General features: G+C 49.1%; 2 annotated features.

Annotated features, from left to right (window-relative positions):
* Nucleotides 41-210: an enhancer, noted in NCBI's record as "experimental_106628 CRE fragment used in MPRA reporter constructs". NCBI's record gives its function as "activates a minimal promoter by MPRAs in K562 erythroleukemia cells, with activity observed for both the introgressed and non-introgressed 9:129348524 variant alleles {active_cell/tissue: K562}" and the evidence as "EXISTENCE:reporter gene assay evidence [ECO:0000049][PMID:34662402]".
* Nucleotides 3,065-3,565: an enhancer, noted in NCBI's record as "H3K4me1 hESC enhancer chr9:129345084-129345584 (GRCh37/hg19 assembly coordinates)". NCBI's record gives its function as "activates a minimal SCP1, AML or CMV promoter by ChIP-STARR-seq in primed H9 embryonic stem cells {active_cell/tissue: H9 hESC(primed)}" and the evidence as "EXISTENCE:reporter gene assay evidence [ECO:0000049][PMID:30033119]".

Raw genomic sequence — 23,528 nt, 5'->3', positions numbered from 1 at the left:
TATCTGCTGCCTGGCCAGACGCCTCAGCCTGCCCTTGGGGACCCCCCACGACCGGGGGCTGATGTCTCCCAGCCTCACTTCACATCATGCCTCCCTCTGCCTTGTCTAGGTTGACCCTCTCACTCATAGCTTCTCTCCTCCAGTCTCAATGTGGAAGCTCCACCATCCCCAGTGGACTCCAGACCTCAACCCGATGTCCTCCACAGGGACCTCCCTGCCTCCAGTAACCTGACTCAGACTTGAACTTCTGAATCACAGCAGCTCTTCATGTCTCCCATTTGGAAATGAAAACCCTCCCTGGACTCCAAGCCTCCTGCTAGCTACTGTCTTCCATCTCTCTTTCCATTTCCTGCCAAGCCTTTAAAAGAGGGGTGTACAGCCCCTGCCCTTGTCCACCTCCTCACCGCCCCAACTCTCAGCAGCTTACTACCATCTCTCACCTGAAACGGCGGCTGGCTCGGCTGCCCCCACCCTACGAGTTGTCTGGTCCCTTTGCCAGGCTTTTTGGCCTCATCCTACACCCTTAATGTTCCTCTTCCCTGGCTCACCACCTACCCCCTGGCTCCTCCTTCTCCAGCTACATTTTGGCATTTCTTCTTTTGCTCTGTGTCCCCATACTGGTGTCCCCCAGCATTCAAACCCAACCTCCATGGCCAGCTGCCTCCTGGTGTCCTCACTGGGACACTCCCCAGGCCCCGGTGGCCTTCTCCCCATCAGGCCTCCTCATGGGTCCCCATCTCCCTGGGAGGCATCACCATCAGCCACCAGCCAGGTGGGACACCCGAGCGTGCTGCAGACTTCCTCCTCTTCTTCTTCATTTTCCACTCCTCCTTCTCCAAGTCTGGTGCCGAGTCCTGTCCATTCTACCTGTGTATCTTGGGACACCCCTCGTCAGCCCCCCATTCTGGCTGCCATATTCTTTTAGCTCCTTTCTGGTCTCCCATCTCTAACCATCCCCCTTCAAGTTCTGCTCCCTGCTGGGCACAGAGTGACCTCTCTCAAAGGCAAGTGTTATCCTGCCACGTCCCTTCCGTGGCTCCTTGTCGCTCTCACAAAAAAACCCACCTCAATAAAGCCCATCGTAATCTGGCCCCTGCCACTTCTCAATCCTACTTTCTCACTGTGGCATCTTGGATCGGTTCATTAACCTCTCTTGCCAGTCTCTGATGCTCCATAACAGAATGAGCTACATGCAGATCCCCTGACACTCCAGGCTTTCATGCCGCCTGCTTTTTTTTTTTTTTTTTTTTTTTGAGACAGAGTCTTGCTCTGTCGCTCTGGCTGGAGTACAGTGGTGAAATCTCAGCTCGTTGCAACCTCCACCTCCTGGGTTCAAGTGATTCTCCTGCCTCAGCCTCCTGAGTAGGCAGGTTCACAGGCATGCACCACCACACCCGCTAATTTTTGCATTTTTAATAGAGATGGGGTTTCACCGTGTTGGCCAGGCTGGTCTCGAACTCCTGACTTTAAGTGATCCACCCACCTCGGCTTCCAAAAGTGATGGGATTACAGGCATGAGCCACCGTGCCTGGCCTTCAGGCCTTGTACTTTTATGTGAGCCTCTCCTTCTGTCTCCAGTACCCTTCCTCTCTGGCCATCCAGGCCGACCGCTGTCCCTCCTCAAGTCTTCATGCAAATGCCACCTGCCTTTGATTCCCCCTGGGAGACTCAGGGCCCCTTCTCCTGTGGTCCTTTCAGAGCTTATAAGGCACCCATTAAAGTGAGTATTTATGATATTGTAATAGTCTTGTCATATCTGTCTGCTGCCCTTGCCCCCCACTGAACTGGAAGTTTCTTGAAGGTAGGACTCAGGGAGGATTTCATTCTGGGTCTTTTTGTGCTCAGCTCAGGTGTTGGCATGGAGGAAAAGCTCAAAAAATATTTGTTGAATTCCCTTCAAAAAAAAAAAAAAGGGCCAGGTGTGGTGGCTCACGCCTGTAGTTCTGGCACTTTGGGAGGCCAAGGCATGTGGATCACCTGAGGTCAGGAGTTTGAGACCAGTCTGGCCAACATGGTGAAACCCCGCCTCTACTAAAAATACAAAAATTAGCTGGGCATGGTGGCACACGCCTGTAGTCCCAGCTACTCAGGAGGCTGAGGCAGAAGAATCACTTGAACCCGGGAGGCAGAGGTTGTAGTGAGCTGAGATCGCACCACTGCACTCCCGCCTGGATGACAGAGTGAGGCTCCATCTCAAAAAAAAAAAAAAAACAACTGAACTGAAAGTTTGAAGGGCCCCTTGGGTGGGGCTGGAAAGACCAATAGCCAAGGGCTGGTCAGTTGAGGCTTCAAGCCAGAGCCAAACTTGGGGTCTCCTGGGCAGTATCACTCAACACACTCCTTTCCAACACACATCCTGGGGAGCAGAGTTCTGTGAACTCTGAAACTAGAACCCGGCTTCCAGTGTCCTGGATGAATTGAGGTCAACCTTGCCTGAGGCTTTTGGAGCCAGACAGGACTGGCTTTAAATCTCTACTCTGGAGGCTGAGGCAGGAAGATCACTTGAGCCCTGGAGTTCAAGTCTGCAGTGAGCTATGATTGCACCACTGCACTCTAGCCTCAGCCATACAGCGAGACCCTGTCTCAGAAAAAAAAAAAAAAAAATCAGCCCGTCTGCCCTTCTTCCCAGCTGTGTGGTCTTGAATAAGTTTCTTCACTTCTCTGAACCTGTTTCTCCTCTTGCAAATTAAGAATGATAATTTACACCTGCAGAGCTGTGTGGCTTCAATGAGGTAGATTCTATGGAGTAGCTGGACCCATAGGGGGCACCTCGTGGGTGCTCAGGAATTGCTCATTCATGCAGTCACGCAGCCTCAGTGCCTCCCTGCATGGCCCACACCCTGGCCTTTCCCCACCCCCAGGGAGATCTGGCTGGCCAGAGGATAATTGCTGATGAGGACACTCAGGTTCCGAGAGCTCAGGCTTTTTGCCCAAGGTCACACAGCCAGTGAGTGATGCTGGGATTTGCATTGAGCCGATCTCTTAACCATGGGTCTACTCTGTGTGTCCTTCCCGGGCCAGGCTTACCTACGCATTCCCAGTGTAGGTGGACTCGGAGCATCCTGAACTCGGAGCGGCCTCTCTCACAGCTCTGGGAGCCAGGCAGGCTTTCCCGCTTCCCCGCCTCCCCTCTGCCCACCGCTGGATCTGTTTAAACTAGCCGAGCAGGGTGAGGTGGGGAGGCGGCGGAGAAGGTACGGAGATGTTTGTTTTCCTTGGGGGTTTATATCAACATTGGTCTTGACATTTCGCCTGTTATTATGTGTGGCTCTTTAGAGGGTGAAATAATATTTTCTTTTGCTTGAGAAAAGGACAAAGTTCAGACAGAGCTCTTGGCCCCAAATGGATTTTCCTCCTTCTCTGCTTTCCATGTGCCATAGCTACTTGGAGTTCCGGAGAGCCATTTCTGTGGAGCGGACATCCTCTCAGGGCCATGGGTGCGATCCGGGGCTGCAGACAGCCACCGTGTGCTGTAGACACAACCTGCACTCCACAGGTTCACTCCGTCCTCTAAACACCATCTGCTTCCCAAGGATGAGGTTTGTGGGTCACTGGTACCTTCCATGGGGTCACCCCCGGTGTTCTCTTGATATCTACAGTGTGTGCAGGCTTGCTGTGTGCTGTGTGAGTCCTCCAGGAGGCTCACCTTTCCTTAGACACACTTGGGGAGCTGCTGTCAGTACACTGGCAGTGCTGTGGGTATGCTCTCTGTGCTGCTGGCACCCTGGACACGTGTAGGGGTGGCAGATACAGGTAGTGCAGATGGCTTATCATAGGCAAATCGCATAGGCCCTAGGGGTCCCCCGTGAGCTCCAGAGAATGTAGGTAAACATCAACCGGGTGCCTGGAGATGTAGACATTCTCCAACATCCGTGGAGAAAGTCCTGAGGTGCAGGTACACCATGGGTGTTAGGGTTCTGTGCGGCAAGTGGGAGGGCAAACACCTGCCAGTACTCTCAGGGTACGGAGACCTCTGTGTGCTCTAGAGATGCCCACTGGGTATGCCACAGATCACTGTAATGACAGTCACCATATGGCCACAGCCCTCATCCTAGTTTGTTAGGACTGCCATGAAAAGTACCACAAACTGGGTGGCTTAAGACAACAGAAATTACTCTCCATTCCTGGCGACCAGAAGTCCAAAATAAAAGGGACAGCAGTGTTGGTTGCTTCTAAGGCTCCAAGACAGAATCGGTTCCATGCCTTTCCCCCGGTTTCTGGGAGTTGCTGGCAGCCCTTGGTGTTTCTCGGCTTGTGGCCTTATCACTCCGATCTCCACCTCTGTGGTCACGTGGTGCGCTCCCTGTGTGTGCGTCTCTGTGTCTGAATCTCCTCCTTTCTCTTATAAAGACATGAGTTTTTGAATTTGGGGCCCACCCTAATCCGGTATGACCTCATTTTAGCTTAACTAATTACATCTGCCAAAGACCCTATTTCCAAATGAAGTCACATTCTGAGATTCCAGGTGGATGTGAGTTTTGGGGAGATGCTATTCAACCCAGTACATTTCCCATTGCTTGAGTTCTGACTGCAAAGAACTGAGTTAAATCCCTTATACATATGACTTCATTTAATCTTCTTGCACCCTGAAGAGGTGGGTGTCATTGGCCCCATTTTATAGTCGAGCAATTGAGGCTCAGAGGTGAAATTTCACTTGTCCAGGATATACAGCCATGGTAAGGGGGTCTAGGATTCATGCTTAGGCCTGCTGGGGTCCCCCACCACACTGCCCTGACAACACCCTTGGGGGCTGAGGGCACATTTCTTACATACTCTGCGCCTTCTAAACCAGGGTTTCTGTTGACATTTGGGACTGATTAATTCTTTCTTGTGAAGGGCTAGCCTTGCATTTATGATTAAGTGTCCCTGGCCTCTACCCATTACATGCCAGTGGCACCCTCCCTCCAGTTGTGACAACCAAAAGTGCCTCCAGACATTGCCAGATGTGCCTTGGGGGCTAACACTGCCCTGGGATGACAGCTGCTATTCTAGGTGAACTCTTTCTGGGGCAGATGTGGTCTGTGTAGGAGGATCAGGGCTTGCCTCTTTGGTCTGACAGTGAATGTTCAGGGTCAGAGATGGCAACAATAATGAAGATGATGGTGATGATAATGTAGATGCCAGGCACTCTACTTGCAGTATCTTATTTAATCCCTGCCCCAACCCCAGAGGGACCCACAGTGTGGAGTTGGTGAATGAGATTGTGGAAGCTCAGCACCTGCTTAGTGCCTGAGAGGCACTTTGCAAAGGAAAGCCTTTCCCATTTTGCAAAAGAAAGCCCATGTCCTCAACACCCCCAGCCTGCTCTTGGGGCCTGGGAATCCTTCCTGAGATTGCCTGGTTGATTAAAAAGTTCAAAGCAAGCAAAGCTCCTGGGGAGGAAGATTTGCTCGTGGATTGCTCATACTGCTCGATGACTGGTGGATTTCAATATGTGCTTCTCTGTTCACCTTCACCATCTTTAAGGGCAAGCTTCTACCTGGGTAGATCCAAAACGGTAACATCCTAGTTTTATTATTTATTATTTATTATTTTAATGGAGTCTTGCTCTGTAGCCCAGGCTGTAGTGCAGTGGCACGATCTCGGCTCACTGCAACCTCCATCTCCCGGGTTCAAGTTATTCTCCTGCCTCAGCCTCCCGAGTAGCTGGGATTACAGGCGCACGCCACCATGCCTGGCTAAATTTTTTTTGTATTTTTAGTAGAGATGTGGCTTTACTATGTTGGCCAGGCTGTCTTGAACTCCTGATCTCAGGTGATCTACCCACCTTGGCCTCCCAAAGTGCTGGGATTACAAGTGTGAGCCACTGCGCTTGGCCAATTTTAAAATATTTATTTATTTATTTATTTATTTATTTATTTATTTATTTATTTATTTTGAGATGGGGTCTTGCTCTGTCGCCCAGGCTGGAGTACAGTGGCACTATCTTGGCTCACTGCAGCCTCAACTGACTGGGCTCAAGTGATCCTCCCACCTCAGCTTCCCAAGTAGCTGAGACTACAGGTATGCACCACCATGCCCGGCTAATTTTTTTTTTGTATTTTTATTTTTATATATTTTTTATTTTTTATGTTTTTGAGATGGAGTCTTGCTCTGTCACCCAGGCTGCAGTGCAGTGGTGCAATCTCGGCTCGCTGCAACCTCCACCTCCTGGGTTCAAGTGATTCTTCTGCCTCAGCCTCCCAAGTAGCTGGGACTACAGGCACATGCCACCACACCTGGCTAATTTTTGTATTTTTAGTAGAGATGGGGTTTCGCCATGTTGGCTAGGCTGGTCTTGAACTCCTGACCTCAGGCAATCCGCCTGCCTTGGCCTCCCAAAGTGCTGGGATTATAGGCGTGAGCCACTGCACCCAGCCATTTTTTGTATTTTAAGTAGAGACATGGTTTCACCATGTTGGCCAGGCTGAGCTTGAACTCCTGATCTCAGGTGATCCACCTGCCTTGGTCTCCCAAAGTGCTGGCATTACAAGTGTGAGCCACTGCACTTGGCGAATTTTTAAATATGTATATATATTTTGAGATATTTAAATATATATATATATATATTGAGATGAGGTCTTGCTCTGTCGCCCAGGCTGGAGTGCAGTGGCACTATCTTGGCTCACTGCAGCCTCACCTACCTGGGCTCAAGTGATCCTCCCACCTCACCCTCCCAAGTAGCTGAGACTACAGGTATTTGCCACCACCCCTGGGTAATTTTTTTATTTTTTATTTTATGTTGCCCAGGCTGGTCTCGAACTTCTGGGCTCAAGCAATCCTCCTGCCTCGGCCTCCCAAAATGCTGGGATTGTAGGCATGAGCCACTGTGCCAGGCCATATCCTAGTTTTAGAAAGAGCAGCTTCTCTCCCCAGAATAAAGACTTGTCGCCTTATTAGGTCATCTCTTCTAAATATGTCTGATCCCAGCTGATAAACAGAGAAGCTGGGTGGCTCAGTCTAATGTTCTGAGAGGACCGGGCACTGTGGTCAGGGCTTTAACAAATACTTACTGCGCACCAAGTTCACTCCAGGCCGGGTTTCAGACGCTGGGGATGGAGCCCTCAAGGAGCCTGCAGTCTAGTTGGGCAGAGAGGAAAACAGAAGCCAATGAACAAATGCACAAGATCCTTAGGGGCATAAAAGACGCAGCCAAAAAAGTGAACCAGGTGCTGAGATGGGGAAATGGGGGCTGGGGCTGGGAGCAGGCGGCCCGGGAGGGCCTCTGCTTAGCCTGGGCTCCCCAGAAAGCAGGGCCTGAGGCAAAGCTGTGAGTGCAGGCACTTCATGGGGTGTGTGATTCCAGGGAGAGGGTATTGGGAAAGGAGGTGGGCAGATTGCCTGAGGTCAGGAGTTTGAGACCAGCCTAGCCAACATGGTGAAACCCCATCTCTGTGTGAAGGGGATGTGGCATCAAGCTGGCCACCGCATCTAGGGACAACTGGCTGCTCAGTCCCACAGGACAAGCTGTGGTGGTGTGTGAAGGACATCTCAGGACTGTCCAATCTGGGGGAAGGTGCAGAAGCATTGTCCACTGGCACCAGCCCCTCATGATCAAAAGTTAACTCTTCTTGGCCGGGTGCGGTGGCTCATGCCTGTAATCCTCGCACATTGGGAGGCCGAGGTGGGTGGATTGCCTGAGCTCAAGAGTTCAAGACCGGCCTGGGCAGCATGGCAAAAACCCGTCTCTACTAAAAATACAAAAAATTAGCTGGGTGTGGTGGCATGCTCCTGTAGTCCCAGCTACTTGGGACACTGAGGCATGAGAATTGCCTGGGAGGTGGCAACTGCAGTAAGCTGAGATCGCGCCACGGCACTGCAGCCTCGGCGACAGAGTGAGACTCTGTCTCAAACAAAACAAAACAAAACAAAAAGTTAACTCTTCTAGAATGTCAAGGCTGCATACTTGTGACCTCGGAGTGGGTTCCACTGTGCAGTGTCCCATGGTTAGCTCCAAGGCAGGAGGTGAGAGGAGCACGGGCCCCACCCGACGGAGGCACTGTCCTGTGGCCTCTGCATGGAGCCGGGTGGATCCTCTGCAGAACCATGAGCCACAACAGACACAAAGACTGGAACAGGCGGAAGATCTTGTTGACATCCAGAGTGCTCAAGAGTGTTCAAAACAGCTCACTGACAAGGTGCCATTTGGGCTGGGACCCAAGATGAGAGTGAACGAGCCTTGTGCCTGACCCCCTGAGCCACCTATGAGGAAATCTTCCAGAAAGAACATTGTGGTTATGGCTTTTATCCATCATTTCTTTTAAAACATTTATTTAGTTTTTTTTTTTTTTAAGAGATAGGGTCTTGCTATATTGCCTAGGCTAGTCTCAAATTCCTGGTCTCAAGCAGTCCTCCCTCCTCAGCCTTCTGAGTAGCTGGGATTACAGGCACAAGCTACCACACCCAGCTATTGGTCATTTCTTTTTTCTTTTCCTTCTTTCTTTTTCTTTTTTTGAGACAGTCTTGCTCTGTTGCCCAGGCTGGAATACAGTGGCATGATCATGGCTAACTGTAGCCTCGATCCTCTGGGCTCAAGCAATCCTCCTGCCTCAGCCTCCTGAGTAGCTGGGACTACAGGTGCTACCATACCCAGCTAATTTTTAGTTTTTAGTGAATATGGGGTTTTACCACATTGCTCAGGCTGGTCTCAAACTCCTGGGCTCAAGAAATTCTCTTCCCTCAGCCTCCTAAAGTGCTGAGATTACAGGCATGAGCCACCACGCCTGATCAACTGGTCATTTCTCGACCTTTGGGGTGACCTGGGACCAAGCCGTGTGAGCCTAGCAGGTTTCAGATGCCTACACAGAACCAACTCTGGATTCTGTAGAGTCAGACCCAATAGGAGGTGGTTCTTAGGAAATCAGATAAAGACCAGGGGTGCATTCTGGTTGGGACCTTAATGATTTGATGATGATTGTAGATGATTATAGATGCTTGTGGTTACTCTAGAGCAGTGCTGTCCAACAGAAATAAAGAAAGTGTATGTAGTTTTAAATTTCTTGGAGCCACATTCAGAAAAAAACAGGTGAGATTCATTTTAATAAAATATATTATTGGCTGGGTGTAATGGTTCATGTCTGTAACCCCAGCACTTTGGGAGGCTGAGGTGGGTGGATCACCTGAGGTCAGGAGTTTGAGACCAGCCTGACCAACATGATGAAACTGCATCTCTACTAAAAACACAAAAAATTAGCTGGGCATGGTGGTAGGTGCCTGTAATCCCAGCTATTCAGGAGGCTGAGGCAGAAGAATCGCTTGAACCCGGGAGGCGGAGGTTGCAGTGAGCCAAGATCGCGCCACTGCACTCCAGCCTGGGCAACAAGAGAGAAACTCCGTCTCAAAAAAAAAAAAAAATATATATATATATATATATATATATATATAGTTTAATCCAATATATCCGAAGTGTTATCACTTTAATATGTAGTCAATATAAAAAAAGTGCTATTTTATATTGTTTCATTTTCACTATGTGTTTGAAATCTGGTGTGTGTTTTACACTAACAGCACACGTCAATTAGGACTGGCCAGATTTCAAGTGTTCGATAGCTACAATGTGGCTAGTGACTGTACTGTTTGACAGTACAGCTCCAGAGACTAGAAGCACAGCTTATTTTGTATATTTGGATGGCATATTTCTATTGTCATAACTAGAAGAGTCTTAGTGAACAACTGGCCCATTGGCCAATCACTTACCCAGGAGTCTGCTGCCGTCAACAGCTGAGGCATCATCACTGGTGGGCATCCTGTGCCTTTGAAACAAATTTAACATTTTATTAGGTTAGTACAAAAGTAATTGTGGTTTTTGCCATAAAAGCAACAGCAAAAACAGCAATTATTTTTGTACCAACCTAATATTTTGAGATAACCGTAGATTCACATGCAGTTGTAAGAAATAATATGCCTTTTACTCAGTTTCCCTCAATCTTGCAAAACTATGGTACACTATCCACCACAGGAAATTGACATTGATATAATCCACAGAGCTTATTCGGATTCCCTTATTTTACTTGTATTCATTTGTGTGTGTGTGTGTGTGTGTGTGTGTATCTTTAGTTGTGTGTATCACCTGTATAGGTTTGTGCATCCACCACCACAGTCAAGATACAAAACAGGCCAGGCCTATAATCCCAGGATTTTGGGAGGACAAGGTGGGAGGATCACCTGAGGTCAGGAGTTCCAGACCAGCCTGGTCCAAATGGCGAAACCATATCTCTACTAAAAATACAAAAAAAAAAAAAAAAAAAAAAAAAAAATTAGCTGGGCGTGGTGGCAGGCACTTATAATCCAGCTACTCGGGAGGCTAAGGCAGGAGAATCACTTGAACCCGGGGGCGGAGGTTGCAGTGAGCTGAGATCACGGCACTGCATTGGCCAACAGAGCGAGACTCTATCTCAAAAATAAATAAATAAATAAAAATAAAAAATAAAAACAAGATACAAAACAGTTCCATTTTGGAACAGAGTGATTCTAGAGGAACACTGAACCGATCTCAGCTCACCGCAAGCTCCGCCTCCCAGGTTCACGCCATTCTCCTGCCTCAGCCTCCCAAGTAGCTGGGACTACAGGTGCCTGCCTCCACGCCTGGCTAATTTTTTGTATTTTTAATAGAGACGGGGTTTCACTGTGTTAGCCAGGATGGTCTCGATCTCCTGACCTCGTGATCCACCCGCCTTGGCCTCCCAAAGTTCTGGGATTACAGGCGTGAGCTACCGCGCCCGGCCAAGGAACAGAATTTTAAGGATGGGTTTTCTAAATTGGTTCTGAGGTTTCTGAAATTGGCTCTCTAACCCGATTACACTTAAAGATGGTAATGACTCTATTTCTAGTAGTAAAGAGAGCACTGAGAACTGTTCATGGAGATACACAAAATATTCCAATCAACCACTTACAAGAAGCAAGGAGCTAGGTGACTCTGTATATGATACTTGCAAATATTTTTGGAAAAATAAGGAATATAATGATGTTGATTCCCTGCCCCTAATGATGCAGGACAAAGTGTGAAAGAAAAGGATGAGCTCAGGGATTTGAATTCCCAGCCCAAGAGCTGCATAAATGACCTAAGAGCTTCTAACTGTGTCCTAAATAAGAACCTCACCTCCTGCAGCCATAGTGCTGAAATTGCTGAAAATCAAATGCAGAACCTTATCCTGTAATTGGCTGAATTACAGCACCAATTGAACTCCCAGCCTTGAAAGGAGTTTACTATTAAAGTGAGGGCATTTGTTGGGAAAGAATGGGATCCTGTGTTGGGATGGGGACATGAGGGAAGACTCTGGTGAACCTGGGGACATTGAGTCTCTCAAATTCTCGAGTCTTCTTTGCCAGTGGAAGAAGTGTCCCTATCCCCAGCCAAATTGACCTCCCTACCCCCAGTGAAGCTGGCTTCCCACCCCTAGCAATAGTGGCCTCCCCACCTCTAGGGACAGTGGCATCCTCATCCCCAGTGGTATCAGCCTCTTTAGCCACACTGGTGTTGGCTGCTCTACCTCTGTCTGAGGGGTTTCACCCTGCATTGCTGGAGGAAATGATAATGGCCTCCTTAAGTAGTTGCTCTGCAAGACAGTGCCATCCCCACTACCCCTCTTTGCTTCTAGACCTGTAACTAGACTCAAGTATGAAGTATGCTACATTCCAAAAGAACTACTTGATTTTTCTGATTTAGACAAGTAGAAATCTGGGGAACATGTATGGGGATGGATATCAAGGGTATGGGCTAATGATGGAAGGAACAAAGTTGGATCAGGCAGCGTTTATTGACATGGGCTCACTAAAGCAGAGATTCTGCATTTAATGTTGCAGCTTGGGGAGTTAGAAAGGGCTCTTACAGTTTGTTTGGTTAGTTAGCTGAAACATGGACCAAAAGATGACCCACTGTGAGTGAACTGGAAATGCCTGACCTTCTTTGGCTTAATGTAGAGGAAGAAATTCAGTCTTGGCCAGGCACGGTGACTCATGCCTGTAATCCCAGCACTTTGGGAGGCCAAGGCAGGAAGATCACCTGAGGTCAGGAGTTCGAGACCAGCCTGGCCAACATGGTGAATCCCCGTCTCTACTAAAAAAAAATACAAAAATTAGCCGGGCATGGTGGCATGCACTTGTAATCCCAGCTGCTCAGGAGGCTGAGGCAGGAGAATCACTTGAACCTGAGAGGCAGAGATTGCAGTGAGCTGAGACTGTGCCACTGCACTCCAGCCTGGGCAATGTAATTTTAAATTTCTGGGAGCCACATTCAGAAAAAAACAGGTGAGATTCATTTTAATAAAATATATTGGCCAGGTGCGGTGTAATCCCAGCACTTTGGGAGGCAGAGGTGGGTGGATCACGAGGTCAGGAGATTGAGACCAACTTGGCTAACATGGTGAAACCCCGTCTCTACTAAAACTACAAAAAATTAGCCTGGCTTGGTGGCGGGCGCCTGTGCGCCTGTAGTCCCAGCTACTTGGGAGGCTGAGGCAGGAGAATGGCGTGAATCTGGGAGGCGGAGCTTGCAGTGAGCCAAGATCCCACCACTGCACTCCAGCCTGGGCAACAGAGAGAGACTCCGTCTCAAAAAAAAAATATATATATATATGTATATATATATATTTGGCTGGGTGCTGTAGCTCACGCCTGTAATCCCAGCACTTTGGGAGGCCAAGGCAGGTGGATCACTTGAGGTCAGGAGTTTTAGACTAGCCTGGCCAACGTGATGAAACCCCATCTCTACTAAAAATACAAAAATTAGCCGGGCGTGGCAGTGTGTGCCTGTAATTCCAGCTACTCAGGAGGCTGAGGCAGGAGAATGGCTTGAACTCAGGAGGCGGAGGTTGCAGTGAGCCAAGATCGCACCATTGCACTCCAGCCTGGGTGACAAGAGGGAGACTCCATCTCAAAAAAAAAAAAAAAAAAAAAAAAAAGAAGAAGAAGAAGAAGTAAGGTGCAGGCCAGGCATGGTGGCTCACATCTGTAATACCAGCACTTTGGAAGGCCAAGGCTGGCAGATCACTTGAGGTCAGGAACTCGAGACCAGCCTTGCCAACATGGTGAAACCCCATCTCTACTAAAAAATACAAAAATTAGCTGGGCATGGTGGCATGCACTTGTAATCCCAGCTACTCATGAGGCTGAGGCAGGAGAATCACAAACCTGAGAGGCAGATGTTGCAGTGAGCTGAGACTGTGCCACTGCACTCCAGCCTGGGCAATGGAGCAAGACTCTGTCCCCCCAAAAAAAAAAAAAAAAAAAAAAAAGAAAGTCAGAGCTGTAGGCAGATGGGAATGCTAGAGTGTATTTGTCATTTAAGACCTACTTATCTACACTGGGAGAGTCTAGGATATACCTGTTATGGTTTGAATGTTTATGTTCCCTCCAAAATTTATGTTGAAACTTAATCCCTATTATGGTGGTATTAAGAATTGGGGCCTTTTGGAAAGTGATTAAGCCATGAAGGCTCTGTCCTCACGAATGGATTAGTACCTTATCAAAGGGCTGGGGGAACTAGCTTAGGTTCTTGTTGCCCTTCCCACTTCCACCATGTCAGGACCAGCATTCTTCCCCTCCGGAGGATAAAACAACAAGACACCATCGTGGAAACAGAAAGCAGCCCTCACCAGACACCAATCCTTCCAGCGCCTTGCTTTTGGACTTCCCAGCCTCCAGAGCCAAGAGAAATAAGTTTCTATTGTTTACAAACTACCCTACTCTCTAGTATTTTGTTATAGCAGTGGAAATAGACAAAGACAATACCTTTCACCAGCCCTTGGAGAAATAAATTTGTGAGGGGACCCCCAGTGTCTTTGAAGGGTTCTGTGATCACTCTTCTTTGCAGGCCACACCTTACAGTGGGAACCACAGCCACTCAATTGGAAAACCTAATGCAGTGGGAGCAACTGGATCATGGGGTGGCAGGGGCCGAATGGCAGCACTCAACTGCCAAAGGCAAGGTGGGCGTGGTTACTGTGATGGGCAGCAGAGTCAAAGCAACTATCAGAATAGTCTGACTCCACAGGCCTATGGCATTGGCTGGTTCATCATAGTGCTCCTAGAAATGAAATGGATAGGAAACACACTAAATTCTTACTAGATTCATATAAGAAGAAAAGTTCTGGGTCAAGTGAACAAAAGTCTTACTCACATCATAAAAACAGTGGGTCATGACTCTTTGATCAATTCCCAGATTTATACACTCAGCCAGTTTATATACTCAGAACAGCCTGAATAAGGGAGGCTGGGTCCCTTCGGGGAAGGACCCTGGTACACTACCCCAAATTTATACTGTTAACCTCTCTCCTAGCCTTCCCCAAAGAGACCTACAGCCTTTTTACCAGAGTAACTGTGCATTGGAACAAAGGAAATAATCATATTTTTCAGGGACTACTGGATACCGTCTCTGAACTGACACTGTCACTAGGAGACCTCACATGTCACTGTGGCCCTCCAATTAGAGCAGGGGCTTATGGAGGTCAGGCGAGCAATAGAACTTTAGTTCAGGTCTATCTTACAGTAGGTCCAGTAGGTTCCCAAAACCATCCTGTGGCTATTCCCCCAGTTCCAGATGCATAATTGAAATAGACATACTAGCAGCTGGTAGAATGCCCACAGTGGTTTCCTGACCTGTGAAGTTGAAGGCCATTAAGGTGGGAAAGGTCAAGTGGAAGCCATTGGAACTGCTCTACCTACAAAAATGGTAAATCAAAAGCAATACTGTATTTCTGAAGGGATTGCAGATGTCAGTGCCACCATCAAGGACTTAAAAGATGCAGGGGTGGTAATTCCTGCTCATCCCCTTTCAACTCTTTTATTTGGCATGTGCAGAAGACAGATGGATCCTGGAGAATGACAGTGGATTATTGTAAGCTTAACTAAGTGGCAACTCTGATTGCAGCTGCTGTACCAGATGTCGTTTCATTTCTTGAGCAAATTAACACATCCCTTGATACCTGGTATGCAGCTATTGATCTGGAAAATGGTTTTTTCTCCATCCCTGTCCATAAGGCCCACCAGAAGCAGTTTGTCTTCAGCTGGTGAGGCCAGCAATACACCTTCACTATCCTGTCTCAGGGGTCTACCAACTCTCTGGCTCCAGGTTATAATGAACTCACAGGGATCTCTATCACTTTTTCTTTCCACAAGATACACTGGTCCATACATTTATGACATTAGGCTGATTGGACCTAGTGAGCAAGAAGTAGTAACTACTCTAGATTTATTGTTAAGAGTGTTGGAGGCTGGGAAATAAATATGATTACAATTTGGGGGCCTTCTACCTCAGTGCAATTTCTAGGGGTCCAGTGGTGTGGGACCTGTTGAGATATTTCTTCTCAGGCAAAAAGTTGTTGGAACTGATCCCTCCTACAACCAAGAAAGAGGCACAATGTCTAGTGGGCCTTTTTAGATTTTGAAGGCAACATATTCCTCATTTGGATGTTTTGCTCCAGCCCATTTACTGAGTTTTACAAAAGCTGCTAGTTTGAGTGGGGCCCAGAACAGGTGAAGGCTCTGCAACATGTCCAGGGTGCTGTGAAAGCTACTCTGCCACTTGGCCCATACGACTTGGCAGATCCAATGGTGCTCCAGGTGTCAATGAATGGCAGGGATGCTGTTTGGAGCCTTTGGTAGGGCCCCATGGGTGATTTGCTCCACAGGCCTTTAGGATTTTGGAGCAAGGCTCTGCCATTATCTGCAGAGAATGACTCTTTTTTTGAAAGATTGCTCTTGGCCTGGTACTGGGCCTTAGTAGAAACTAAGCTTTGGGTGGTCCCTAGACATTTGACCAGGGTCCACCAAGTTACCATGCGACCCCTGAGCTGTCCTTCATGAACTGGGTGTTATTTGACCACCAAGTCAGAAAGTTGGGTATGCACAGCAGTGCCCCATGATCAAATGAAAGTGGTATATACACAGTCAGACCCAGGCAGGCCCTGAAGGCATAAATAAGTTACATGAAGAAGTGGCCCAAATGCCCTTGGTTCCCACTCCTGCCACACTGCCTTCTCTCTACCAACCTGCACCTATGGCTTATGGGGACTTCTTATGATCAGTTGATAGAGAAGCAGAAGACCCTGGCCTAGTTTATAGCTGGTTCTGCACAACATGTGGTATCACCAGAAAGTAGGTACAGCCCCTCTCTGGGACATCCCTAAAGGACAGTGGTCAAGGAAAATCTTCTCAGTGGGCAGAACTTCAGTCAGTGCACCAGTTGTGCACTTTGCTTGGACAGAGAAATGGCCCGATGTGCGATTGTAAACCAATTCATGGGCTGTAGCCAGTGGTTTGATTGGATCGTCAGGGACTCGGAAGAAACACAATTGGGACATTGGTGACAAAGAAATTTGGGGAAGAGGTATGCGGATAGACCTCTAAATGGGAAAAAAATTGTGACGATATTTATGTCCCATGTGAACGCTCACCAAAGGGTGACCTCAGCAGAGGAGGTCAAGAGGATAGGATACCAGTCAGCCTCTTTCCCCAGCCACCCCTGTCATCATCCAATGGGCTAATGAACGAAGTGGCCATGGTGGCAGTGATGGAAGTTACGCATGGGATCAGAAACATGGATTTCCACTCACCAAGACCTATCTGGTATGGCCACCTCTGAGTGCCCAACCTGTCAGCAGCAGAGACTAACACTGAGCCCCTGAGATGACACCATTCCCCAGGGTGAACAGCCAGCTACTTGGTGGCAGGTTGATTACATTGGACAGCTTCCATTATGGAAGGGGCAGTGTTCTGTCTATACTGAAGCAGACATTTACTCTGGATATAGATTTGCCTTTCCTGCAGGCAATGCTTCTGCCAAAACCACCATCCATGGACTTAACAGAGTGCCTTATCCATGGTCATGGTATTCCACACAGCATTGCCTCTACCAAGGAACTGGTAGAAGTGTAATGGGCCCCCCCTCTGGAATTCACTGGTCTTACCATGATCCCCACTGTCCTGAAGCAGCTGGTTTGATGGATAGTGGAATGGCCTTTTGAAGACTCAGTTATAGCACCAGCTAGGTGGCAATAGCTTGCAGGGCTGGGGCAAGGTTCTCCAGAAGGCTGGATATGTTTTGAACCAGTGCCTAATATATGGTCCTATTCTCCCATAGCTAGCATTTCCTGTTCCAAGAATCAAGGAGTGGAAGTGGGAGTGGCACCACTCACCATTACTCCTAGTGACTCATCAGCAAAACTTTGTTTCCTTTTCCCAAGACTTTATGCTCTGTTGGCCTAAGGGTCTTAATTCCAGAGGGAGGAGTGCTTCCACTGGGAAACACAACTATTCCATTGAACTGGAAGTTAAGATGCCATCCAGCTACTTTGGGCCTCTTGTACCTCTGGGTCAACAGGGAAAGAAGCGAGCTATGGTGTTGGCTGGGGTGATTGATCCAGATCACCAAGAGGACATTGGGCGCTGCTCCACAATGGAGGTAGAAAAGAGTATATCTGGGATGCAGGAGACCCCATCTCTTAGTATTACCATGTCCTGTGATTCAGGTCAATGGAAAATGACAATAGCCCAATCTATTGGACTATGAATGGCCCAGACCCTTCAGGAATGAAGGTTTGGGTTACCCCGCCAGGTAAAAAACCATGACCCGCTGAGATGCTTTCTGAAGGCAAAGGTTGTACGGAATAGGTAGTAGAAGATGGTAGTTTTCTGAGACAGAATTTCACTCTTGTTGCCCAGCCTGGAGTGCAATGGCACGATCTCGGCTCATCGCAACCTGCATCTCCTGGGTTCAAGCAATTCTCCTGCATCAGCCTCCCGAGTAGCTGGGATTACAGGCATGTGCCACCACGCTTGGATAATTTTTGTATTTTTAGTAGAGACAGAGTTTCACCATGTTGGCCAGGCTGGTCTCGAACTCCTGACCTCAGGTGATCCTCCCGCCTCAGCCTCCCAAAGTGCTGGAATTACAGGCGTGAGCCACTGTGCCCAGCAGAAGATGGTAGTTATTAATGCCAGTTTAACCACATGACCAGTTAGAGAAATAAGAACTGTAATTGTCACGAGGATTTCCTCCTTATTTGGTTATGAATACATTTGTGTTTTTATGCATATATTTAACAAATATCTTTGTTTTCTTTCCTCTCTTATTCCCTTATCATGTAACATAAGATTTATTGACTTTGTATCACTATTTAAGTATTGTTAATTTCACATCATACTATTGAAGTTACAGGATATGAGGAGAGGAGTAAACACCACTCAAGGACTTTATCTCCTTTTCTGGGGAAGGGATTAGAGCATTTTCGTTGTACACAGGATAGTTGTATCATGTTCAGTGGAACCATAACCTTATTATTGTTGTTATTTGGAGATTAAGTATGGCTTCAGAAGATGCCTATGGATGCCTTGTTGACAAGGGGTGGACTTACGATGGTTAATTTTGTGTGTCAGCTTGACTGGGCTAAGGGATGCCCAGGTAGCTGGCAAAACATTACTTCTGGGTGTTTCTGTGAGGGAGTTTCTGAAAAGGAATAGCATTTGAAAAGACATCATTCTCACATCTTCTCACCCATGTGGGAGGGGACCATGGAGTCAGCTGAGGGATTGAATAGAACAAAATGGCAGAGGAAGACAGAATTTGCTCTCTCTTCTGGAGCAGGGACATTCATCTCCTCTTGCCTTTGGACAAGGACGCTCCTCATGCCTGAGCCTTTGGACTTGGATTGGGGCTTACACCATCAGTCCTTTGGTTCTCAGGTCTTCCAGCTTGGACTGGAACCACACCACCAGCTTTCCTGGTTCTCCAGCTTGCAGATGACAGATGTGGGACTTCTCAGCCTCCATATTGTATGAGCCAATCCCTCATAATAAATCTTTCTGTATATTTATATATGGAGATCCTATTGGTTTTGTTTCTCTGGAAACACTGACTAATACAGCCCTTTACCCAGCTTCACTCCAATGGTAACATCTTGCAAACTATGGTACAATATCACCACCAGGAAACTGACTTGATACAAGCCACAGGGTTTATTCAGATTCCCCTGTTTTACTTGTACTCGTTCGTGTGTGTGTGTGTGTGTGTGTGTGTGTGAGAGAGAGAGAGAGAGAGAGAGAGACTGAGAGTTCTGTGTGTCTCATGTGTAGGTTCGTGTATCCATCACAGTTAAGATACAGAACACTTCCATCACCACAAGGATCCCTCATGGTGTTTTTTGTAGCTACGCCCACCTCCTTCCTATATGCCCACCCTGCCACTTCTGACTTCTGGAAACCACCAATCTATTATTTTCTAAAATGTTGTCATTTCCGGCCAGGTGCAGTGGCTCACACCTGTAATCCCAGCACCTTGGGAGGCTGAAGCAGGTGGATCACTTGAGGTCAGGAGTTTAAGACCAGCCTGGCCAACATGGTGAAACCCTGTCTCTACCAAAAAAATTAAAATAAATTAGCTGGGTGTGGTGGTGCATGCCTGTAGTCCCAACCTCAAGAGGCTGAAGTGGGAGAATCGCTTGAAACTGGAAGGCAGAGTTTGCAGTGAGCCAAGATCGCCCCACTGCACTCCAGCCTGAGTGACAGAGGGAGACCCTGTCTCAAAAAAAATAAAATAAAATAAAATAAAATAAAATGCTGTCATCTCAAAAATGTCATATAAGTGCAATCATATAATATGTGAGCTTTTGGGATTGGCTTTTTTCACTTAGCATTATTCCCTAGAGTGTCATTCAAGCTGTGGCGTCATCAATACTTGGTTACTTTTTCTTGTTGAGTAGTATTCCACACCCCATGACTTTCAGTGGGTCCTGGTACCCTCATGGAGGGAGGAGCCACACACACATCCTAAGTGTGCACGTCACGGCCAGGGGTCTGTTTTATGGAGATTATTATTTAAATGACCAAGGGTAAGGTTAAAGTTAGGGTAAGAATGACTTAAGATAATGTATGTAAAGTGTTTGGCAGAATGACTGGCAAATAATATGTACCCAATAAACATTAACCAAAATAAAGTGCTCTAACACACAGAAAAGAGGAGGATTAAGCCCTCCCAGTCCCATATCACAGAGCATAGATTTTTATCCTAAAGATGTTTCAGACTGGGTTGTCCTGGGTTGCCCGCTGGGAAGTAGAGGGGCTACATTCACACCCCGGTCCAGCTGCCTCCAGATTCTGGATGCTGCTCCATTGGCCCTGATGTCGGAGGCTGCAGGCAGACCACCCACGCCGGCCTGACGGGCCCCAAGACTCTCAAAGGACCTCCAGCTGCAGAGCATGCCCTACACCCTGACACTTCCCTTCTACCCTGGTCCGAATTGCCATCACCTTCTGCCTGAAGAGACAGCAATGGCTCATGACTGGCTTCTCTGCTTCTGTCTCTTAGAGTTCAAGTCAACACACATCCTACTTCTGCTCATGACCCCAGTGCACTGAGAGTAGAAGTCCCATGACCATCTGCAAAGCCGTGTGTGACCTGACCCGCACTGGTGTCTGAGCGTGCTCTGCTCCAGTGCCTCCTTCCCTGGATGTGCTGGGCAGGCACTGGACTCAGGACATTTGCACTTGCTGTGCCCGCTGCCTGGAAACCTCCTCCCTGAGATGTCTGTGTGGCGGCACTTCCCCTTGGCCACACTATTTGTAACCTCTTAGTGATTCCCACCCCAGCATTCCCTACCCTCCTTTCCTGCTCTGTTTTTCTCTGGAGCACCCAGCACCATCTAACCTACTGCTTATTAATGTTGTGTACTGCCTGTCTCCATCCTCCACTTTCCTGGAACATGAGTTCCATGAGGGCAGGGATGTTGGTCTGTGTTGCTCACTGCTGTGTCCCTGGAACACTGCCGGGTGCATGGCAAGGAATGGAAGTGCTCAGTGAATGCCTGCATGCAGCTGCACCCGCAGCTTGGCACCCATTTTCTTGGGCACAAGTTGTACTTGCTGCAGAAACAAAACTCATGACTACCTTGGATTCACTGGCGAAGATTTAACTCCCACCCCACTCCATGCACTGGGCATGCTTCCTGCATCATGATCGCCACAGTTACCCAAAGTCCAGAGTGGTCCTGCCTCTGGACCTCGCTCTGGTTGGTGCCCATTTCCCTGAAGACTCAGTGCTGGTCGGCTGCAAATTGGCTCAAAGGGAGAAAGAGCGCTGCTTGGACCTTTGTTTTTCAACCCAGGCCATAGGGCAGAGACCTCCCTGGGTTCCTGATGCCAGTGGTCTTACCCTCCAGTTGGGTCCTTCAGACTCCATTATTCCCAGTAGAGCTGTGGAGATGGTGGGGTTGGGGGGTGGGCATATGCCAATCGAATGAGGTCCAACTGTGGGCCATGCCATCATCATTCTTAATATCAACCCATGGGATGCAGGCGCCACCATTGACTTGACCCAAACATCTTGCCAAGGCCTCTGCAGTAGGAGGTGGAGCTGGGGGTCCACCCGGCCACCTAGGGCCAGCATCTGCAGTGCAGGTAGAGGTGGGAGGGTTTGGGCTGATGTCTTCAGGTCAGGGGCCACGGCAGGCTCTGAATGTCCCTGTGTCCCCAGAGCCACCTGCAGGCCATCTACGATAAGGCATGCACAGGAAGCTGGGTGGGCTGGGAGTGACATCCAGACCCCCAGCTAGAGGGGGCCTCTAAATGCTCCCTGGGACTCCACTGGGCATGGATTTCTCCAGGGCTACTCCCTTTGAGTTCTATCTGCTGCTGAAATGTGGGGGCTGGGGCGAGCCCCCACACCACAGCCTGCCCAACTAGGTGCACCTGGACTTCCCCTCCCACTGCACAGGGATGCTGTGCACTGGGAGCCAGAAGCACTGTCCCTGGGCAAGGACAGGCTGGCCAGTACTGCGGGACACAGACGGGGAGAGGTTGGGATCAGCCAAACAGTGGCTGGGGACCCAGGGGACATACTAGGCATACCCCTAAACAGCAGGCATGAGTTTCAACCAGACAGGGTCAGGGCACAGGGGGCTGTGGCTGGGGACATGGCTGGACAGTGGCTGGTGACAGGACAGCACTACAGATACAGCGGGACAGTGCCTGGGGACACAGCAGGTCAGGCTCTGGAGGGGCATGACCTGGAGCTGTCCCTGGTCCCTCCCTAGGTCCCTCAGCCCTGCCCTTCCCCCACCCTGGTTGCTGCTCCCTGCTCTGTGGCTGCCATGCCACTGTCTGACGCCTTTGCAATCTTATCTCTCATCTTGTTCTCTGTTTCCTCCCCGTCCAGGCCTCATCTGTCTCCGGCCTCCCACCCCCCCACCTGCTTCCCATCTGCGGCCCTTCCCTACTCTCCCCGCCCCGCTGGCCATCGCCTCCGTCCTCCTCTGCTATCCGGCTCCAGTTCTTCCCTACCCATCCAGGGTAAAAGTTCAGAGCCGTGGGTTAGGACCCTGCCTCCTGCCTGCTGCCTGCTGCGTGCCCCACATCCTGGACCCTAGACCCATTGGTCCCTCCTTCCCTCCACTGGAGACATAGGCTATAGTCCTAGGAGGGCCCTGTCCTAGCCCTCAGGCTTCCCAGGGTCCGCAGCCCACACCTGCTGCTCCCTGAGGCTGGGTTCCCAGGTCCCCTCATCCAGGCAGACCTTCCTGACCCTCCCAGACCTTCCCAGAAAAGGCAATGCCGCCTCCTCTGAGCTTGCCCAGCCAAGTGTGTCCCTGGCTTTTGCCTGAGTCACAGCTGCCTGGATTCTGCCTCACTTTAGTCTGTGGCCTCCCTGAGGGCAGGGACAATTCCACTTTCCTTGCCTCTGTACAGAGAGGGAAACAGGCTTGGGAGCAAGGTGCACTGTCTGCCTGGAACACCCAGCTGGCTCCTCACAATTCGAGCTCCCTTGCACGCTGCAGGGCTTGGCTTCAGTGTCAGCCTTCAGCAAGGCTGTCCTGACCACTTGGCTAATGTGGCTCTCTCTCCCACCCCAGCCCCGACCCGTCCTCCACTTCTGCATCCTGGTTTCCTTGTGGGCTTCATGTCCTACTTTACAGAGAAAACAGATAGGAATGCCAAAGGGAGCTAAGAGTGGGCCAATTGGGGTGTCCATGGCACCTCAGGGCACCAAGAGCTCCCCAGCTCCCTGCCCCTCACCAAAGCCAGGAGTCCCAGGGGTCCCAGCTGCCCCCGGGGGCCTCCATCCCATGGAATCAATCTCCCCATGTAGCCCCAGCCTGTATGGCTTCAAGTCCCAGCCTTACCATTTAGTAGCTAAGTGATCATGGCGAGCGCCTTCTCTGGGTCTCGGGGTCCACACCTGCCTACTGAGGCTGGTAATGCTGCCTGTCTCAGGCTGGCAGTGAGAACTAATGAGTTAATGCACGTAAAGAACCGGGCACAGCGTAAGTACTCAATCAATAGCTCCTCTTGCTCCTAGACATTGCAGGCACCGCAGTAGCAAAAACAGCAACGATCATGAACTTGAATATGGAGATCACCTTCATAGGGTATTAATGAGAACGACCAATCCTTTTCATTGCCATGAGCCTGGTTGCTCCCGAATGCTTTATAAACAGTATCTCTAGACTCCTTTTAACCCATTGGGAGGTATAGACTCTTATTCCCATCTTCCAGATAAGCTGTCAAGATGCATAGGGCAGACATGCCCAGGTCACACCACGAGTCTGCGGGCAGCAGGGTAT

This window comes from Homo sapiens, chromosome 9 (assembly GCF_000001405.40).
Source record: "Homo sapiens chromosome 9, GRCh38.p14 Primary Assembly".
Lineage (NCBI taxonomy): Eukaryota > Metazoa > Chordata > Mammalia > Primates > Hominidae > Homo > Homo sapiens.
The sequence above is the reverse complement of the archived record's forward strand: the minus strand, read 5'-3'. Positions and strand labels throughout refer to the sequence as shown.